General features: G+C 43.4%; 1 protein-coding gene and 1 non-coding gene across 7 annotated transcripts in view, besides 1 other annotated feature; both read right to left on the bottom strand.

The window, feature by feature from the left end:
* CDH13 (cadherin 13) overlaps positions 1 to 19882 on the bottom strand; it is a 1173672-nt gene that overhangs the window by 279212 nt on the left and 874578 nt on the right. The window lies entirely within an intron of this gene.
* Positions 10315 to 10835: an enhancer, noted in NCBI's record as "H3K4me1 hESC enhancer chr16:83544199-83544719 (GRCh37/hg19 assembly coordinates)". NCBI's record gives its function as "activates a minimal SCP1, AML or CMV promoter by ChIP-STARR-seq in naive H9 embryonic stem cells {active_cell/tissue: H9 hESC(naive)}" and the evidence as "EXISTENCE:reporter gene assay evidence [ECO:0000049][PMID:30033119]".
* MIR3182 (microRNA 3182) lies at positions 13021 to 13083 on the bottom strand. Its single transcript, NR_036147.1, has one exon. It is a non-coding gene; the product is annotated as a microRNA 3182 (primary transcript).

Genomic DNA, 19882 nt, shown 5'->3' with positions numbered 1-19882 from the left:
AAGGTCACCTGGCCGCTACTACTCTATTAGCATAAAAATACAATTTTTTTTCCATTATTGGTTTTTCCATTCTTTTTTTTTTTCCTAAATTTCAAAGAGCAAAGAGTACCTTCTCTCTTGAAGGACCTCACAGTCATACAGGGTGGCCGATTACTTTATAACTTAAAATAATAAAGCCTTAAAGCTGGAAGAAACCTAAGAGGATGAAAAATAATTACTGAGAGCTAACACGCAAGGCAGTACATGCAATAATTTAAATTTAAAACGTGTTAGCAAAGTGCTGGTTTTCCATTTACTGTGGCACTGTGGTGATGGGGTATGTCTTACCTAAATATGTTTACTGAAGTAAAAGAGAGCATGTTGCTTTAAAAAGCACATGAAGTATATATTAGAACAGATGTTAGAAATAGCAGACATTACAAAGGTGAAATTTAAAAAATTGAAGTTTGGGAGGCGATGGTTGAAACCTGAGGAGAGGCACTTCCTGTGAACACTTCTCTTGGTGGGGCAGCCCATTGCTCTCCCTTCAAAGGATTTTTAAATAAAACTTGGATGAAGATTTTGAGCTGGGCAGAACTGAGGCCAGAGCCATGTGGTGGATCCTGTGCCTGTCCCTGGCTGGTGTCCCTCAGCACTCTCCAGGCTCTTCCCGGCCAGCTGAAAAGCTAGCCACGTCCTGTTCTGGCTCTAAAATTGATGATGCCACATTCCTGCAAGTGTTCCATTAAGCCCTTCCAGGACAATTTTCCAGGCTGAGAAGCTGTAATCAAAATTGGCAATTGAGCGGCAAACATAAACACTTCCGCAAAATTATATGCAAACAAGAACCTGGCTCTAAGGCCAACCATAGAGTGGATCCATGCAATGACGTCGAGACACAGAGGATTTTTGCCTAAACATATTATTCACAATATTCAAGGCCAAACACAGCCCAAGCTGTGTTTGCTCCCTCAGAGCAAACCCTGCAGCCCACTTAAGTATATATCCATGTAACTAATACCCAGACTGAGAGAACATTCCCAGTCTCCAGCAGGCTTTCCTATGTCCTCTCCTAACTGCCATCTCTGCAAGGTAGTCACTATTCTGATCTCTATCACCATAAATCCTTTTTGTTTTTTCTTGAACTTCATAAACGATGGAATCATACAAAATGTACTTTTTTGTACACTTGGCTTCTTTTGCTCCACTTAGAGCCTGTGAGTGTCAACCATATTCATTCTTTTTCATCACTGTTTACCTCTAGTCATTGACTTATTCTGTCATTAGAAGTCATATGTATTGTTTCAAGACTGGGGCTACCATTTTGAAAAACATTGCAAGACTCCTAGTTGTTCTACATACTTGTCAGCACTTGATATTGTCAGTCCTTTAAGTTTTAGCAATGGTGAACATTTATATCATGAAGTTACCCAGGCCTAGCCCTTTTCCTGAATATGAGATCTTTATTTGCTATGATTTGCTGTTTTTACCTGAAATTTTTTCATTTATTTTTCAAACTCAACATAGCAAGCAGAAGATTTCACATCTCCTTTCTGATCATCTGCGACTCTTCCTTTGTCCCCCAGCTCTAAGAAACCCATTCAAAGCTAACGTCCTCATGCATGTTTTTCAGTTCCCCTTGTTCCCCCCACCATTCACACTGGGAGGATTGTACCTTTGCCATGCTGCTTGTATTGAGGCACCTTTCTTTCCTCTCCCCGCACCATTGCCCTAGAGCATCCTTCATTATCTCTTGCCTAGAATATTTTAGGCTCTATAAAAAAGATTTCTTTGAACAGCTAATTTTGGACATTTTAGAAATAGGTTTAACTCATTTCCTAGGCAACTTCTCTGACTTCTGATCAAAGGGTCTGTAAACTTATAACTGGATTAGTCTAATACTCAAGGTATTATAGTTAAAGTGGCTAATTTTCTTCCTCTGTTAGTTTGCTCAAATACCCTCAAATAAGGAATGTAGAAGTGCGATATGAAATTCATTTTCATTGAAGTATTTGTTTCTTTTTCATTGAAGTATTAGTTCTTTCTTTGTCCCTAGACTATTACTTAAACCAATCAGCTGTCTTCTGGGGACTCCAAAACAGAGGCTGTGTTGTGTTCATATGTTGCAGTTTTCCTGATAAAGGCCCTTGGATATCACTGGACTCCAATGCTAGGGCGGAAACAGGCCTGATCATATTCTCAGAAGTCATCTTGTTAGGCTGAGACAAGACAAGACTCCTGGTATTTCTCCTTCCACCTATATGTAGGAACTGCCTCCTAACCTAACTAAAATTCCTCAAATTTCCAGTGTGTCCCAGTCCCTATAAAACTCTATTCTCTATCCTTCCAGATTCTAAGCTTCCAGGCTACGGACAAAGAACAATGGTAAAGTTTAGCGAATCTGAGAACCAGGTGCCTAGGATCTGTGAATCCTAGTGCCTACGTTACAAACTGTAGAGTCTGGTATATTAGTCCGTTCTCAAGCTACTAATAAAGACATACCAGAGACTGGGTAATTTATAAAGAAAAGAAGTTTAATTGACAGTTCAGCATGAATGCAGAGGCTTCAGGAAACGTACAATCATGGTGAAAGGGGAAGCCAACACATCCTTCTTCACATGGCAGCAGCAAGAAGTGCTGAGCAAAACAGGGAAAAGCCCTTTATAAAACCATCACATCGGCCGGGCTCGGTGGCTCAAACCTGTAATCCCAGCACTTTGGGAGGCTGAGGCGGGCAGATCACGAGGTCAGGAGATCGAGACCATCCTGGCTAACATGGTGAAACCCTGTCTCTACTAAAAATACAAAAATTAGCCGGGTGTAGTGGCAGGTGCCTGTAGTCCCAGCTACTCGGAAGGCTGAGGCAGGAGAATGCCGTGAACCCGGGAGGCGGAGCTTGCAGTGAGCCAACATTGCACCACTGCACTCCAGCCTGGGAGACAGAGCCAGACTCCGTCTCAAAAAAAAACAAAAAACAAAAAACAAAAAAAAACCCATCACATCTTGGCCGGGCGCGGTGGCTCACACCTGTAATCTCAGCACTTTGGGAGGCCGAGGCGGGTGGATCACAAGGTCAGGAGATCGAGACCATCCTGGCTAACACGATGAAACCCCGTCTCTACTAAAAAATACAAAAAAATTAGCCACGTGTGGTGGCATGTGCCTGTAGTCCCAGCTACTTGGGAGGCTGAGGCAGGAGAATGGCATGAACCTGGGAGGCAGAGCTGCAGTGAGCCAAGATCACGCCACTGCACTCCAGCCTGGGTGAGAGAACAAGACTCCATCTCAAAAAAACAAAACAAAAGACCATCACATCTCATGATATCTCACTCATTATCATGAGAACAGCATGAGGTTAACCACCCCCATGATAAAATTACCTCCCACCAGGTCCCTCCTATGACATGTGGAGATTATGACAACTACAATTCAAGGTGAGATTTGGGTGGGGACACAGAGCCAGACAATATCACTGGGGTTAGTCACTTCATCACCCCAGGGCTCAGTTTTCTTATCTGTAAAATGAGAACGATAATAATATCGACCTCAGAGTTGCTGTGAAAATTAAATGGGACAATCTACATAAAGCCCAATGCCTTGCATTTAGTGAGAGTGCCACGTGTATTCTATTACCATTAAAGCTAAAAAAAGAGCCTCCAAACTGCCCATCTCACTTTGTTCCTAATCATCTTCTTATACACTGTCAACAATTCTTTCTCTCCTTTAGCATTTTTGCCCTTAGATCCATTTTTAAGCTTGTCAACCAGTTCACATTGTTTTCCAGACTGTCACTGCAACAAACAAAGGAACTTCCTGGTGATTGCCCACGTGTTCCCTCACATTTCTCACCCTCCCTTCAGGTAGGTGGGGCCACATGACTAGTTCTAGCCAAAGGGATGGTTGAAGCATTTAAGGGCTGCTTTTGATACTGTAACTCTTTGTTCTTCTGCCACAGGCACAAAGGAGGCCAGTGCTCCACATGCTGCAAGCTGGCAGAGCCTCTGTCAGCCTGGATCCCTTAATGACTACGTGGAACAGAGCTCCCCAGCAGACCCATGTTGGAATCACAGCTTGAGCAAGAAAGAAACTTTGTTGCGCTATGCCTACTAAAATTTGGGGGTTAACTTGTTACTGCAGCATAACCTAATCTAGCCCTGATTAATATTTCAAGTTTGCTTTTAGATTGATAATCTCTTTATGAGCCTCTTTTAGACAGTCTACATCCTTAAACTGTCTTGCAAGCACTTCTAAGCTGAGTATGACCTGCTGCTCTGGAACCTCTTACAGTCACCCTGTTGAGCTTCCTTTTATGCTAGAACTGTAGTCTCTCTGGGATCAGCAAGAGATTCCAGGAATTCACTTCATATTTCCCTTTGCCAGAATTACAAGACCTACAACTGGGAAAACACGACAGTCAATGTATCCAGACTTTTTTCAGTTTTTAACTACACCAGCAATTTCTTACACTCACTGATTTCTCTGGTGACAATATTTTTGCTCTCACTCCCGCCACTTTATCTCCTTTCCTGGCTAACAATTTCCAGGTCTCAAAATAAATACCACTTCCTCCAGGGAGCACTCCTTGCTTTCCCCAACAAGGTGGGAATCCACCTGTTGTACACAACAATGCCATTGTAAAAAACACTCAGATCATTTGCAATATCTTTTTGACATCTTCTCTACTAAGTTATAAATTCCATGATGACAGGGGAGGCAGCTGGCTTTTTTACTATATATTCATTTTAAATACTGTGCCTGGAAGAGAGTAGGTACTTACAAATTATCTTCTGATCATTGCCTTTATAAATAAGAGGGAGAACAATTCAGACAGCCATTCTCCTCAACATGATAAGGGAGCTCTCACATTAAAATCCCAGGTCTAGGAAGAGAAGACACCTCTCCTTTGAAGCAGTCTATAAGTCATACTGTAGAGAATTGTTTCCCACAAATTGCTTTCTGTAACACTTAGTTCCATTTCAGAACTCTGAAATAAAATCAGATCCTTGGCTTCTTGATTCTGCCTTATACTTAGCTTACTGTAATGTTGACACTATTTTTATAGGCTAGAAACTAGTGGAGTGTTCATAAAGAGAGATGACATGAAAGCCTGGCTCAAGGTCTCAAAATTATAGGGTGCCCCCACTCTGATGAGAAGAGAACCTCAGAATGGAGCCACACTCCCCAAACGGTTCCAGTGCTGAATTGCTTTTGCTTCTCATTCTTTGGCACTATAAAGAAAACTTTGAGTGTAAAACGCTTACAGGAAACTTTCTACAACCCCCCTGAGCTAACAAATGCCATGAGCTATCTGAGGACATCTCTTTATGTTATACACTTTTATGATGAAGATAAGAACCCACCACATGCTCTTAGACGGAAACTTGGAAAAGCGAATTTTTGAATAAATCACGAGGAACAATGTTTGAATTGATTTTCTTGGTTGGAGCAGAAATGGAAATAATTCAGCTAATACAAAGAACATGGATAACAAGATAATATTATACCCAAATATCAGCTTATCATTTCTTTTCTTTTTCTGGCTTGTCTGTTTAATTCCTATATAAAGATTAAATTTATAAATATATAGGCAATCTTTTAATGTGGCAGGACACATTAATACAATATCAAAAAACAACTTATTAATTTTATTTCTAAACAAAATGAACGCTTTGCTTGGTGTGTTTTAAAAATTTCTTCATGAATTCAACCAAATATTGAGAACTTGAGAAAAATAATGTATTTTTGTCCTGCTTATAAAAAACTTGATTCTCATATTTTGGTAACATCTCTGTTGTGACATCTAGAAATTCTAAGCATTTGAGAAATTTTACACTGCTTTTTAACACTGGAAACTTTGACAGCTGGGGCAATTTTCTAGTCAATCACCCCAGTGAATCTAAACCAGTATCTTTTTCTAGCTTGTATCAAGGGAAATTACAGCATGATATAAAGTTTCTCTCCTGATTACAGAAGCTCCTTCAATTGTGTCACGGAAAAGACTGAACACATGCAGATATGTGAAATGAAAAGCAGTCTTGACTGTTTATTATTGCTTGTTAACTCTTCGTGAGTGCATAAAACGACAGTAACTTCAAAGTTACTGCAGAGAGAAGTGTAATGCTTAAAAGAGAAATGTCGTGCAAATGAATTTTGTAGTGGTGGTTTCAAAGCTTCTAGAATTCTAATCAAAGAGGCTCAGGGTTGGTTTGGAGAGACCTTAAAAGGAATCCAATCCCACCACCCAGCTGAGGCATGAGTCCTCAAGTACAGAGTTCTTACATCTGCAGGGGAGAAAAGAGAGCTCAGAAACATGGAATGACGTCTCCAGAACCTGAACCCAGCAGACCTACGACACAGCACAAGATGAGGAAACCAGATTCTAGATTCCTACCCCCGAAGCTGCCTCTGACCCTAAACCTCCAAAAGCTGGCTGTGTGCACCTGGGTAAGACATGATCTTTCAGTCTCCATTTCGCCATCAAGAAACAGGGGCATCTCAGTGTCCAGGAGCTGCAGTAACTACACGTCACAAACCGGAGGGGCTCAAAACAACAGAAATTTACTCTAATAGTCCTGGAGGCCAAAAGCACAAAAGAAGACATCTACAAGAGTCCTTCCTTCTGGAAGTTCTGAGGGAACATCTGTTCCCGGCCTCTATCCTAGCTTCTAGTTGTTTGCTGGTGACCCGTGGTATTTCTTGGTTTATAGACTCATCATCCCACTCTCTGCCTCCAACTTTACTTGGCCTTCTCTCCTGGATCTTCTGTGTGTCTCTGTCTCTCTCCTCTTCTTCTCTTTTTAATTTTGAGATGGAGTCTCACTCTGTTGCCCAGGCCGGAGTGCAGTGGTATGATCTTGGCTTACTGCAACCTCCACCTCCCAGGTTCAAGCAATTCCCATGCCTCAGCCTCCTGAGTAGCTTAGACTGCAGGTGAGCACCACCATGCCCGGCTAATTTTTTGTATTTTTAGTGGAGATTGGGTTTCACCAGGTTGGCCAGGCTGGTCTCAAACTTCTGAACTCAGGTGATCCACCTGCCTTGGCATCCCAAAGTGCTGGGATTACAGGCATGAGCCACCGAACCCGGCCCTCCTCTTCTTATGAGGATACTCCAAGGCATACTGGACGTAGGGCCTACCCTAATCCAGCATAACCTCATCTTAGCTAATTACATCTGAAAAGACACATTCTGAGGTTCTGGGTAGACATGAATTTGGGGAGGACCCTAGTCAACCTAGTACAGAAAGTGATAATGGGATTTATTGCATGGAGTAATTGTGAGGATTAAGTGCATGTAAATAAATATAGAGAACAAAGAGCAGGGCCTGTCTCACTGTGAAAGTACAATACACATTGGCTTTAATTAGTAATGGACACTACGTCCAGGTTGTATTCCTACGAGGCACACAAGATAGTTTCATTTTACTTTCAATTCTTTCAGCTCCTGATGATGAACTTTTAACATACAAGACAGTCTCTATTGGACAGATGAGGCAAACTTTGCTCTCAAAATAACCCCTTACTTTTTTTCCTTCATTCTCTATAATTTTTGTCTATGTTTTTATCAGCTACTTGGGGACTAGAGAGGCTGGCAATAAAGGTGATCTGCGGCCTATTATGGTGGCATTTGTCTTTGAACCCAACTGTTAAGGTTTGGCCGTGTCCCCACCCAAATCTCATCTTGAATTGTAGTTCCCATAATCCCCATGTGTTGTTGGAGGGGCCTGGTGAGAGGTAATTGGATCACGGTGGCAGTTACCCTCATGCTGTTCTCATGATAGTGAATGAGTTTTCAAGAGATCTCACGGTTTTATAAGGGGCTATCCCTGCGCATTGCTCAGCACTTCTCCTTGCTGCCACCCTGTGAAGAAGGACGGTTGACTTTCCCTTCTGCCATGATTGTAAGTCTCCTGAGGCCTTCCCAACCACAAAGAACTGTGTGTGAGTCAATTAAACCTCTTTCCTTTATAAATTATTCAGTCTAGGGTAAGTCTTTATAGCAGCATGAGAACAAACTAATATGCTAACTACAGGAGAAGTTTGCACTTTTTGGAGAAGTTTTCCAGGCCCACGATCACCATTGATCTAAGGGATCTAAGGACGTTCTAATATTTTGGAGAAAATGCCATTTCAGGTCCCATGATGCCTGCCTCTCTGTTCATCACTCTGTGGTCAGGGGCTGAGTCAGCGGCTGACTCAGATGTGAACTCAGATATTCAGATGTGAACATGGATCTTTGTTTGATGCTTTGAAGCTTGGAAAAAAAGCAAATCCAACCTCAACTTATTTTGTTTCAAAATCTTTTTCTCATGGGACTAGCAGGCATTATAGGCTCGAAGACAATTCTTGAATTGTTTTCACAAGCCTAATTCTGGGGCTTAAAATGAGATTCAACCCAAAGACACTTATGCCTTTTTTTTTTTCTTCTTTTATTTATTCCCAATCTGCGAAATACTTCCTGGATTTAGCTGACTGCCCAGGACCAGGGTTAAAAAGCTTGCAGGGCTTGATCAGAGGTTCTCAAATTTTAGTGTGGCTTGGCATCATCTAGAGGGTTTGTTGAAAACACAGGTTATTGGGTGCCACCTCCCAGGGTTCCAAATCAAGAGGTTTGTGGGGAGGCCCGAGAATGTGTTTTACCGACAGGATCTCAGGGGATGTGGCTACTTCTAGTCCACACTGGTCTAGATCGGTGCCCCTGTGAAAGCTCATGTAGAACATATTCCTTCCCCATGTACTTTCTTTATTACTATTATTATTATTATATTATTATTATTATTATTGAGACGGAGTCTCACTCTGTTGCCAAGGCTGGAGTGCAGTGGCATGATCTCAGCTCACTGCAACCTCCACCTCCTGGGTTCAAATGATTCTTCTGTGTCAGCCTCCTGAGCAGCTGGGACTACAGGCGCATGCCACCACACCTGGCTAATTTTTGTATTTTTAGTAGAGATCGGTTTCATCATATTGGCCAGGCTGGTCTCAAACTCCTGACCTCGTGATCCACCCACCTCGGCCTCCCAAAGTGCTGGGATTACAGGCATGAGCCACCACGCCCAGCCCTTCCTTTATTTTTATTTTATTTATTTATTTATTTATTTATTTATTTATTTATTTATTTATTTATTTTGAGACGGAGTTTCACTCTGTCCGCCAGGCTAGAGTGCAGTGGTGCAATCTCCGCTCACTGCAAGCTTCGCCTCCCGGGTTCACGCCATTCTCCTGCCTCAAACTCCCGAGTAGCTGGGACTACAGGCACCCGCCACCATGTCTGGCTAATTTTTTGTATTTTTAGGACAGATGGAGTTTCACCGTGTTAGCCAGGATGGTCTCCACCTCCAGACCTCGTGATCCGCCCGCCTCGGCCTCCCAAAGTGCTGGAATTACAGGCGTGAGCCACCGCGCCTGGCCCCTTCCTTTATTTTTTAAAAAAGCTAGTTTCTAATGCTATTAGCTAACACTTACTGAGGACTAACCATGTGCTGGAACTATTCACCAAGCAAAAGCCCCATGCAGTGATTGCTTTTATGAGCCCCTTTCGAGGGTATGAGAGGTTAAATAACATGCCCAGGCCTCAAAGCTAGGAAGGGAGAGATCCCAAAGCCTGAGTCCTTATGTGCTATGGGTGTCGGGCTTATTTCTCATTAAACATTCAGATTCCCATTGTAAGCATTCTAAGGATCCTACCTTTGCCCCTTCCATTTTTATTTTGCGATTTCATTCTTCAATAGGACTTCTAGGATAATTATACTTTTTTCTTCTTCTTACTATCTTACATTAACCTGTGTGATGCTCATATCAGAATTTTTACTGCTTTTTAGTGAGACAAGCATAATAAATATGTTTGTATGGTAAAATTTACTCAATTTTGTTCACTCTGAGATTATAACTCACTTGTTTCTATGGGAATGTATGAGTGTATGTGTAGGTGTATGTGCGAGTGTGTGAGTGTATATGTGAGTGAAAGTATGAAACTTTTTTTTTTTTTTGAGATGGAATCTCACTCTGTCCCCCAGGCTGCTGTGCAGTGGCGTGATCTCAGCTCACTGCAACCTTGGCCTCCCTGGTTCAAGCAATCTTCCTGCTTCAGCCTCCCGAGTAGATGGGGTTACAGGCACCTGCCACTACACCTGGCTAAATTTTGTATTTTTAGTAGAGATGTGGTTTTGTCATGTTGGCCAGGCTGGTCTAAAACTCCTGATTTCAGTTGATCTGCCCTTGTAGGCCTCCCAAAGTGTTGGGATCACAGGTGTGAGCCACCGCACCCGGCCACGAACCATTCTGTGTGTGTGAGCGTGTGTGCATGTGCGTGCATGTGTGCACATGTGCATGTGTGTGCATGCGTGCATGTGTGCATGTGTGTGTGCATGCGTGCATGTGTGTGCGTGTCTGTGTGTGCACACACGTGTGCATGCGTGCGTGTCCGTGTATGTGTGTGGGAAGATGGTAATACCAATGTGTGCAGTTCTTCTTTAGATGTCCTTACATGACAGAATAGGCATGGTAGTCTTCTCTCAGTCTAAAGTTTTCAAGGGTAAATTTTGTGTGAAATTCCAAATCCTGAAATGCACTGACCTACATTACTGATTTTCTGAAAGACCTTTAGTACATGTAACTGTTCTCACTTAGTTGTCTGCATTTATTTTTCTTTAAGACATACTTTTTCAAACTAATCATGTGCACAGGTGGGTGGTGAAAGAAACCCAAACCCCCTTTGGCTTAGACAGTTTGGCTCTATCTAGAAGTAGGTGGACAAGGACCTCGTGGTACACTGGAGATGAAACATTGGTGTTGAGAGCATCAGCTTTGAGTCTTGATCCCTGGGTCTCCTGTCCAGGGGTAGATTCCAGGTAGGATTTCACAACTACTGCAGCCCTTCTCTTCTAACATATCCTTATTCCCAGGGTTACTGTCAGCTGTCAAGGTATCTCTCTTTTCCTGGTAGCATTTTGAGAAATGAAAACTTTGCAAAAGAAAATTATTCCTTCATTGGTGTGTTGTGTATTTTTAATATCCATTAGACGTAGTCCACCTATCTCTATCATTTTGTGGGCTGCAGAAGGATTTTCACAGGCAAGTTAAGTCCAATTGTGGAATGGTGGTGTTTATCAGTTTTCTCAAAATGTCATCTAAATTCATATTTTACATTCTAAGATCTGTGCTGTGTTCTCTCTCCATCTCGGAGAGCAAAAAAATTACACACATCCAACTATCACTTCTAATATGAATAAAAAATGTTCTTCACTTTATCCACTCGAAAATAATATCCCTGAAGAATTTAAATATCTCACTGTTTTGCTTTTATTTCTTACAAAATGGCCCCAGGAGAAAAAGCCGTCAGACTCGTTTCAGCCATCCATTCACAGGGCTACTGGGCTGAGTCAAGGAATCACATTCCACTTGTAAAACACAAGCAAAAACACTTCTGAAAAAGTCCATTAAAGCAGGGCTAATGATAGACACAAGGAGGTACGCTGGCTACAATACCATGCTCCCAATCCTCTGTCCGGGGTCTTGCCACCTGGCCAGCTGGTAGCTGTGTGACCTTGAGCCAGTCATCTACCCTCTCTGAGCTTAATTTACTCCTCGTGTGTGCCATGAGGAAAACAAGGTCCTCCAAACTCAGAGAGAGTAATAATTAAATGAGAATCCACAAAATATTTAGCCCAATGCTTGACTCATAATAAGGCTTTAATAAAACTTAGTTTTTATTATTAGTATTTTTTACTACCACCAAAAAGGACTTTTTGGTAAATCAAATTTGTCTTATTCCCTCTGGTTTCCCACTCTTTGCCTTTATATGTTTTCTTCTCTCTGCTAGAAATAGTCTTCCTTTCTCCCTTTCCAGAAATCTACTTCCCACTCTTTAAATCAGAGGTCAGCAAACCACAGCTAATGGGACAAATCTGGCCCACCATCTGCTTTTGTAAATAAAGTTTTATTGGAACACAGCCATGCTCATTCATTTATGTGGTATCTATGCTTGCTTTTGTGCTACAAAAAAGTAAAGCTGCACAGTTGCAGCAGCCACCATATGGCCCACAAAGCCTAAAATACTTACTATCTGGCCCTTTACAGAGAGTAAAATCTGCAGATCAGTGCTCAAAAATCTTTTGCTCAAGTTATCCCATACCTGGGCATCTTCCTGATCCCCTTGAGACAAAGTTACTTCCCTGGCCATGGCATGTTCCACATATCATCCTGCTGTAAAGAGTCATTTCCATGGCCGCCTCCCTGCTATACTTTGTGAATACCATCAAGGTGGGCATCAGCTCTTACATCTTTGAAACTCTGAGGTAAGAAAGGGTGACCCTAAGTATGGGAAGCCCCTGGGGGCTGGGGAAGAAGGGGGTTGAGTAGAGGGATTATGGAAACTTGGCTTCAAATAGAGGAATGAGAAGGGAGGGCAGAGGGTTTCTGTGATGTGTGCATGCTATGCAGACCCCACAGGCACTCATGCACACAGAGCTGTGATGGCATGTACACACCTATGCATAAATTCTCAACTCCAGGTACCCATTAGCAGCATGAGAAAGTACAAACAGATCAGCTGGGTCATTACACCTCAGCTCTACACGGTACCTTGTGCCTGTTACAAGATATCTAAAATATAGAAGACAAGAGAGAATAATGGATCCAGCTAGCTCTCTGCCTATTTGAGTGCAAATAGCTTATTCAGGATACAATCTTAAGAAGCACAAGTGAGGGAGAAAGAGAAGTGAGACAGAATATGTAAAAGAGTCAATACACAGGTGGCAATGGGCAGATTATCTCTGTGGACAACTGGTGTTCAAACTCACTGGGGTCATCTGGGAGACTCGGGAGAACATATCTCGAAGTTGTCCTATTCCAAGGGTCAAGAAGGGATGGTAATCTACCAACTCTTGCCACTCAAAGGCTGATGGCTGTTCCCTGGGCAGTAAGACTGAGCACACTCCCATGGTCAGAGGAAAGTCCAGGCAGGCAGCTGCAGGGATTAACAGGTTGAAAGCCTGTATGGGAGTGGTGGGTTCCTGGGGATCTGGGTGAGCCATCAACAGTCACTGCTCTATGATCCAACCCAAGCATCGAAGGGCGGATGCACGGACTACACTACAGAAGCAGCCATGGGGCAACGCAAAACTTCTCTCTAATTTTTTACCCCATCTTCTCACTGCTATCCTCCAGAACCCCAGTAAGTGAGTTATTGAACCGGGGACAGGAGAAGTAAACTGCCGACCTGATTTGGCAGACTCCACATTTATTAAATGTATTCCCTTCCCTTCCCTTTCCTCCCCTCTCCTCCCCTCCCCTCGCCTCCCCTCCCCTCCCCTTCCCTTTCCTTCCTCCCTTCCTTCCTTTTCCTTCCTTCTTTCCTTCCTTCCTTCCTTCCTTCCTTCCTTCCTTCCTTCCTTCTTCTCTTTCTCTCTTTCTTTCTTTCGACCGAATGTTGCTCTTGTTGCCCAAGCTGGAGTGCAGTGGCGCGATCTCGGCTCACTGCACCCTCTGCCTCCCGGTTTCAAGCGACTCTCCTGCTTCAGCCTCCTGAGTAGCTGGAATTACAGGCGCCCGCCACCACGGACTGCTAATTTTTGTATCTTTAGTAGAGACGGGTTTTACTATGTTGGCCAGGCTGGCATCGAACTCCTGAGCCCATGATCTGCCTGCCTCGGCCTTCCAGAGTGCTGGGATTACAAGCATGAGCCACCGCACCTGCCCTCATAAATTTTTTACTAAGCAAAACATTTTTAAACTAAGTGATAAGACAATTTTTATTTAAAACCAAGGATGTCTGAGCATGTGCCATTAGATGAGATCAGGCAATTCAGGGTGCTATGCCCACAGGAAGGCTAGCATTAGATATTAACAGTCTAGCTCAGTTAAGCATTCCAGTCACCTTTGGAAACGTTTCCTGGGCTCTTTAATTTGTTTCCAGAGTAGCAACCAATTATCATTATTGTACTGTTAAGAATGGGACAAAGACTGTGTACCATTAATACTGCTTCTAAACTACTTTAAAGAACTTAGTCTTTCTAGCCAAATATGCTTTGAAAATGTCACTGGCTTTAAATGTATTTGGTTTAAATTTCCCCAGGTTCTAACACACACTCTTCATTCATTCAGCCATCTTCTGAGCCTCTATTAATAACAATACCTCTTTGAAGAATGCATACATTACAAACTTTCTCAAGAAGCCTAGAATCGACAGAGGAGAGAGACTGTAATAAAAATATTGCTTTTCCTTGTGACAGTGGCATTAATAGAATGCTAAACAATCTGTGTGAGAAAATGAAGAAAGAGGGATTGAGTCATGCAAAGAAGACCAGAAAAAGTCCACAGAGGAGGGGCTGCTCACACCAGGTTTGGGGGGTAACAGAGAAATGAGCAGCAATTTTAGCTGGTGAAACAGACTATGTGTATTAGTTATCTAATGCTGAATAAAATTACCCCAAACTTAGTGCTTTAAAGCAACTAAAAACATTTATGATTGCACACAGTGTTTGTGGCTTGGAGATATGGAAGCTGCTCAGCTGTGTAGTTCAGTCAGGATGTTGGTGAGGCTACAGTTATCTAAAAGCTTGATGGGGGCTAGAAGGTCTACTTCCAAGGTGGCTCACACATACGGCTAAAGAATTGATGCTGGCTATTAGTAGGTGGCCTCAGTTCCTTGCCATGTGGATTTCTCCATGAAGCTACTTGAGCTTCCCTACAACACGGCATTTGGCTTTGCCTGTAGCAAGAAAGGACAAGAATAAACAAGGCTCAGAATTCACACAAAGTCATTTCTGCCATGTCCTATTTGGCTACACAAGTCATTCCTATTCGATGTGGGAGGGGACCACGCAGGAGCATGGGTACCATGAGGTGAGAATCACTGGGAGCCCTCCTGGGGGCTGGCTACCATAATATGCAAAAGTCAGAAGTGCATTATCTTTGAGGGAAGAGAAAATGCTGATGCCATTGGAACGAGGGTGAGTTAGGAACGTAGTGGTACAATATAAAGCCAGAAAGCATGGGTCAGACTGTAGTTTGGATCAAGGAGGTTACATAAAGGAAGGCACTGCATCTGTCAGTCTCTCCTCCCTTTCATCTGTTGGGATTTGAGTGCAGGAGTCAGGAGCATTCATAGCAGAACTGGATTCCCACCAATAAGTCCCTTTCCCAGGAACTGCCCCATTCCCCAACCCCCAGAGAGATCAGTGGCTCCAAATCTTTGAGAGGATACAGAGGAGCTTGTCTATACTCTTCACTCTGACCAGCCTTTTCCTTCAGGCCTTAATGAAGACAGCATCTTCTTTCCTCCCCTTGGCCTTTTTATTCCTGCATGGCCTGATGGTCTCCCTTGGACTGGAACAACTTCAAATCCTGTTTGCCATGAGTGGAACAGCAAACCATTCTGACAGCCTCTTTGGTCTTACACTGACCTGGGTGTGAATTCCACTTCTACCCATTCCCTGAATGTGTGAACTTGGAAAGTAAATACTCCCTGTGACTCTCAGCTTCTCCCGGGGTAAGGTGGGAATACCACCACCACGTTATGGAATGTTGAAGGAAGGAACATGCTGATGCGTTTGCAATGTTGGCAATGGAGGCTGCTTTTAATAATCACATCATATCTGCAGCTCACAATCTGCTTCCTGGATCTCTTTAAACTGGGTTAGGCATTTTGGGAGGCCAAGGCAGGTGGATCACCTGAGGTCAGGAGTTCAAGACCAGCCTAACCAACATGGAGAAACACCGTCTCTACTAAAAATAAAAAATTAGCCGGGCGTGGAGGCGCATGCCTGTAATCCCAGCTACTCCGGAGGCTGAGGCAGGAGAATCGCTTGAACCTGGGAGGTGGAGATTGTGGCGAGCCGAGATTCCACCATTGCACTCCAGCCTGGGCAACAAGAGCAAAAACTCCTTCTCAAAAAAAAAAAAAAAAAAAAAAAAAAAAGGATTAATCACAAACCTCATCAGCTTTACAAGAACTGTGCTCCTTTGGCAGAGTTTACTAAATGTGTTCCCTTTGGTGCTCACATGTAGGCTGTTTCCCATGAATTCATTATCAGGCTGGCTGGGAGGGTCCTGGGGGAGGAATCTGCATGGATTTCCACTGGCCTTTCAAGATCAAGAGCAAAGCACTTCTGAGTCCTAGTGTTGTCCAGCGTACACTAAGGTGAGGATAGATTGAATTATCCTTCGTTGTAGGCTAACGCCCGCTAGGCATTATGACAGTTAGAACTGAGAAACAATTCTTGTTTCTTCTGGGTACAATGGGAGGGGAAGCCTGGGGATCTGGAGGCTAGATTTTAACTTAATGTGGAAATAAGAGCACCAAATTCAAGTCCAAATCTAGAATTTGAGGATGGGTAGGATCACATTTCCTATGCACATCCTTTGTATGAGAGTGACAGGCAAAGACAGAGGTGGTGCCACAGCTGGCTGACTATGATGAGGCATCAATGCTCTCAGACCCCTCCCATCCTCTCTTTTCACTCCTCTTAACCATTTTTACAGAGAAAGGAGATTTAAAGCAGGAAATTTTGATGCTTTATTTGAGGCAGACTTTAAAAAATAATTACGTTGACATGTCACCATGAGACTTACCTGGCAGGACACTAATTACTTGCTCGTATGAATATATTTTCTACTTTAAAAAACACAACTATAAACAAATGTTATTTTTTAAAAAAATTCCTTGAAGCCACTACTCTTGTCACCAAGCAGACACCAGAAAATCTCATTATCTGCCCTAACACCAGTTGCTTACAGGGCCTGAGCCACTCTGTCTGGATGTCTAGTGTTGAGGATGAGGCTGTTATCTCCCGCTACCTGCCATGACCCCATATCAGCCCCACTGGCACTGAGAATGGGCACAGCACCCGGAGTGGGTCCCATCTTGCTAGAATCCCAAAACGTGGAGTCCAGGTCATAAAGATCTGGCCTGCTTTCCACCCTCACAGCAGAAGAAGTTGTCAGCAAAGCCTCAGATGCCTCCCATTGCCCGTCCCAGTGGTAGCGACACTGGACAGGCTGAGTGTCTTCTGGTGGCATTAACCCTTTGTGCTCTCTTTCATAGGAAAGTTGCTGTGTTCTGAGCTGAAGAAATACCTCCAAAATGCTTCATGCACAGCAGATCTTCAGAAGAGAAGTAAGGGTGAGGTTGGAACCTCTGTCTTTCCAGAATCAGGCTTCTTTGTGGAGGGGCTGGAGGTTGTGAACACTCTTCTCTAGTGCCCTGTGCTTCACCAAGGGTGCAGCAACCTGAGGATTAAAATCCAGCCTGTTCCACTCACCAAGCCTTACCCTTGGCATGGGCTATGTCCATTCAGAGGAACGGGCATCTTTTATTTCCTTTTTTTAAATTTTACCTTAACTTCTGGGATACATATGCAGACTGTGCAGGTTTGTTACATAGGTATACATGTGCCATGGTGGTTTGCTGCACCCATCAACCCATATTTTAGGTTTTAAGCCCCACATGCATTGGGCATCTGTCCTAATGCTGTCCCTTCCCTTGCCCCCCACCCCCCAACTAAAACACCAAAAGCAATTGCAACAAAAGCCAAAATTGACTATGGGGATCTAATTAAACTAAAGAGCTTCTGCACAGCAAAAGAAACTATCATCAGAATGAACAGGCAACCTATAGAATGGGAGAAAATTTTTGCAATCTACCCATCTGGCAAAGGTCTTATATCTAGAATTTACAAGGAACTTAAACAAATTTACAAGAAAAAAAACAAACAACCCCATTAAAAAGCAGGCGAAGGATATGAACAGAAACTTCTCAAGACACTTCTGTGGCCAAAAAACATTTGGAAAAAAGCTCATCGTCACTGGTCAAGCATCTTTTCCTATTGCACAAAAGTGGCTTGTGGGCTAGGAGCCTCCCTGCCCCTTCCCTTTTCCTCCACTCCACCCCAGGAAAAGGAATGGAGGTTTCTGATTGCTGAGTGGCATCTCCCTAGCTATGTCTCCTTTCCTCCTTTCCCTCTCCTGTTTCTCTTCCCCTTCCGGCCTCCTTCTCACTGCCCCTCCTCCTGGGCAGAGGCATCCTGAGATGGGCTCCACCCAGGTAGATGTGGCGTGTTGTTATCCCACCCCATCCGAATCTCTCTAATTTAGGTAAAAGTATTAGCAAATTTATTTGGGTACAAACTCAAGGCTTTCCTAATCAGCTTCATAGGTAATGAAACCTACGGTTTGGTCTCCAGTTGTCCTGTATTTCTTAGGAGTTCTAATTTGGGAGGGGAAAAAAGGGTACAATTCACCACTTCTTAGTTTCTCAACACTACTTGAATCTACGTGAGCGATTCAAGGCCTCACTTTATACCCCTTGCTTACCTGATGATGTGAACATTCTTACCAATGTGTATTGAGCACCTACAAGGTACAGATCTAGGAGGCAAGGAGCCCCTCTCTCTGTGTAGCCTTTGTAAGGCTGGATTTATGTAACTGAAGCATAACCAACGAGCTCCGCTGTGCCCTTGTGAGGGCCAATGGAAGGCCACCCCCTGAGAGGAACACTTTCATGCACTTTTACCAACTCAGGCAGGCTGGTTGGGTGGGATGGCAGCCACCCAGCCTTCTAGGGAGACCCCACTGTCGATGGAGATGCCTGAGAAAGATCTGGTCAAGTGGACTGTGCCTCTGTTAGAACACTCCTGTGTCATCTCAAGTCTCACCATTATTTTATTATTGGTAACACCAGCTACTATTGGTCAAGAGCTCTTCATGGCCAATGCTAACGGCCATGAAGCTAATGTATTTCATGCCCAAGAGTTAATGTACTTCACCTGTCATCTCTTTCAAGCCCCCAAAACTAATGTATTTCACACATCGTCTCTTTCAAGGTCAAAAGCTACTGTATTTAACACGTCATCTCTTTCAAGCCCACAAACCATATAAAAAAGGTTACATCCATTTCCTATTGCTGCTGTAACAAACTGCCATGTCCTTAGTGACTTAACCATGTGACTTTATTCTCTTACACTTCAGGACAGGAGTCCAAAGTGGGTCTCAGTGGGCTAAAATCAAGGTGTGGGCAGAGCTGCAATCCTTCTGAATTTCTCTCCTTGCCTTTTTTTTTCCTTTTTTGTTTTAGATGCCAGAAGCTCTGTCCACAGCCCTTGCATGGTGGGCCCTTGCTCCATCTTCAAAGCCAGCACTAGAGCATCTTTAAATCTCCAACCCAGCCATTCCCACCTCCCCCTTATTAAGACCCTGTGATTATATCAGGCCCATCTGGATAATTCAGAATAATCTTCCAATCTCAATATATTTGACTTAATCACTTCTACAAAGTCCCATTTGCCCTGTAAGGTAACATATTTACAAGTTCTGGGAATTAGGATGAGGACTTCTTTGAAGGGGAGGAGCCATTATTCTGTCTTCCACACAGGCCGTGCTATGAGTTCCATTTTACAGCCAAAGAAACCTAGGCTCAGGTAGGTGAGGTGACTTGCCCAAGGCCACACAAGTAATAAGATGCAGAGCTCAGATTCACAGATTCACATTTGTGAATTCCTAAGCCCAAGCTCTGAGCCACTGTACCACATGGGCTTTCTAATGGAAGAGCTGAGGGAAACTCAATCAAGCTCCCCAAATATGTGAAAAGTCCAGGAGCAATGAATACAGAAATCCCTGAAATGAGTCTGATAAAAGATAAAGTTGTCCTTGAGACATCTGTCAGATTTTTTCCATCAATATGTCCCGTGCTTTTCTTTAATAGCCCAAGGGAGTGGATAGAGCAGCGGCTATGAGGTCAAATCCAATGCCCTGGCTCTCCAGTGGGTGACTCAGGAAAGGCAGGTCAGCCCTTGGGAACTCCATAACCCTCCTAGTAGAATGGATGTGGCAATTTCAGCCTTACAGAGCTCCTGTGAGTGTTATGGACCTAATGTAATGCCTGGATGAAAAAACGCCGTAATTGTTTA

The sequence above is a fragment of the Homo sapiens genome, chromosome 16, assembly GCF_000001405.40.
Source record: "Homo sapiens chromosome 16, GRCh38.p14 Primary Assembly".
NCBI classification, from domain to species: Eukaryota; Metazoa; Chordata; class Mammalia; order Primates; family Hominidae; genus Homo; species Homo sapiens.
This window is presented reverse-complemented; position numbering and strand designations above follow the sequence as displayed.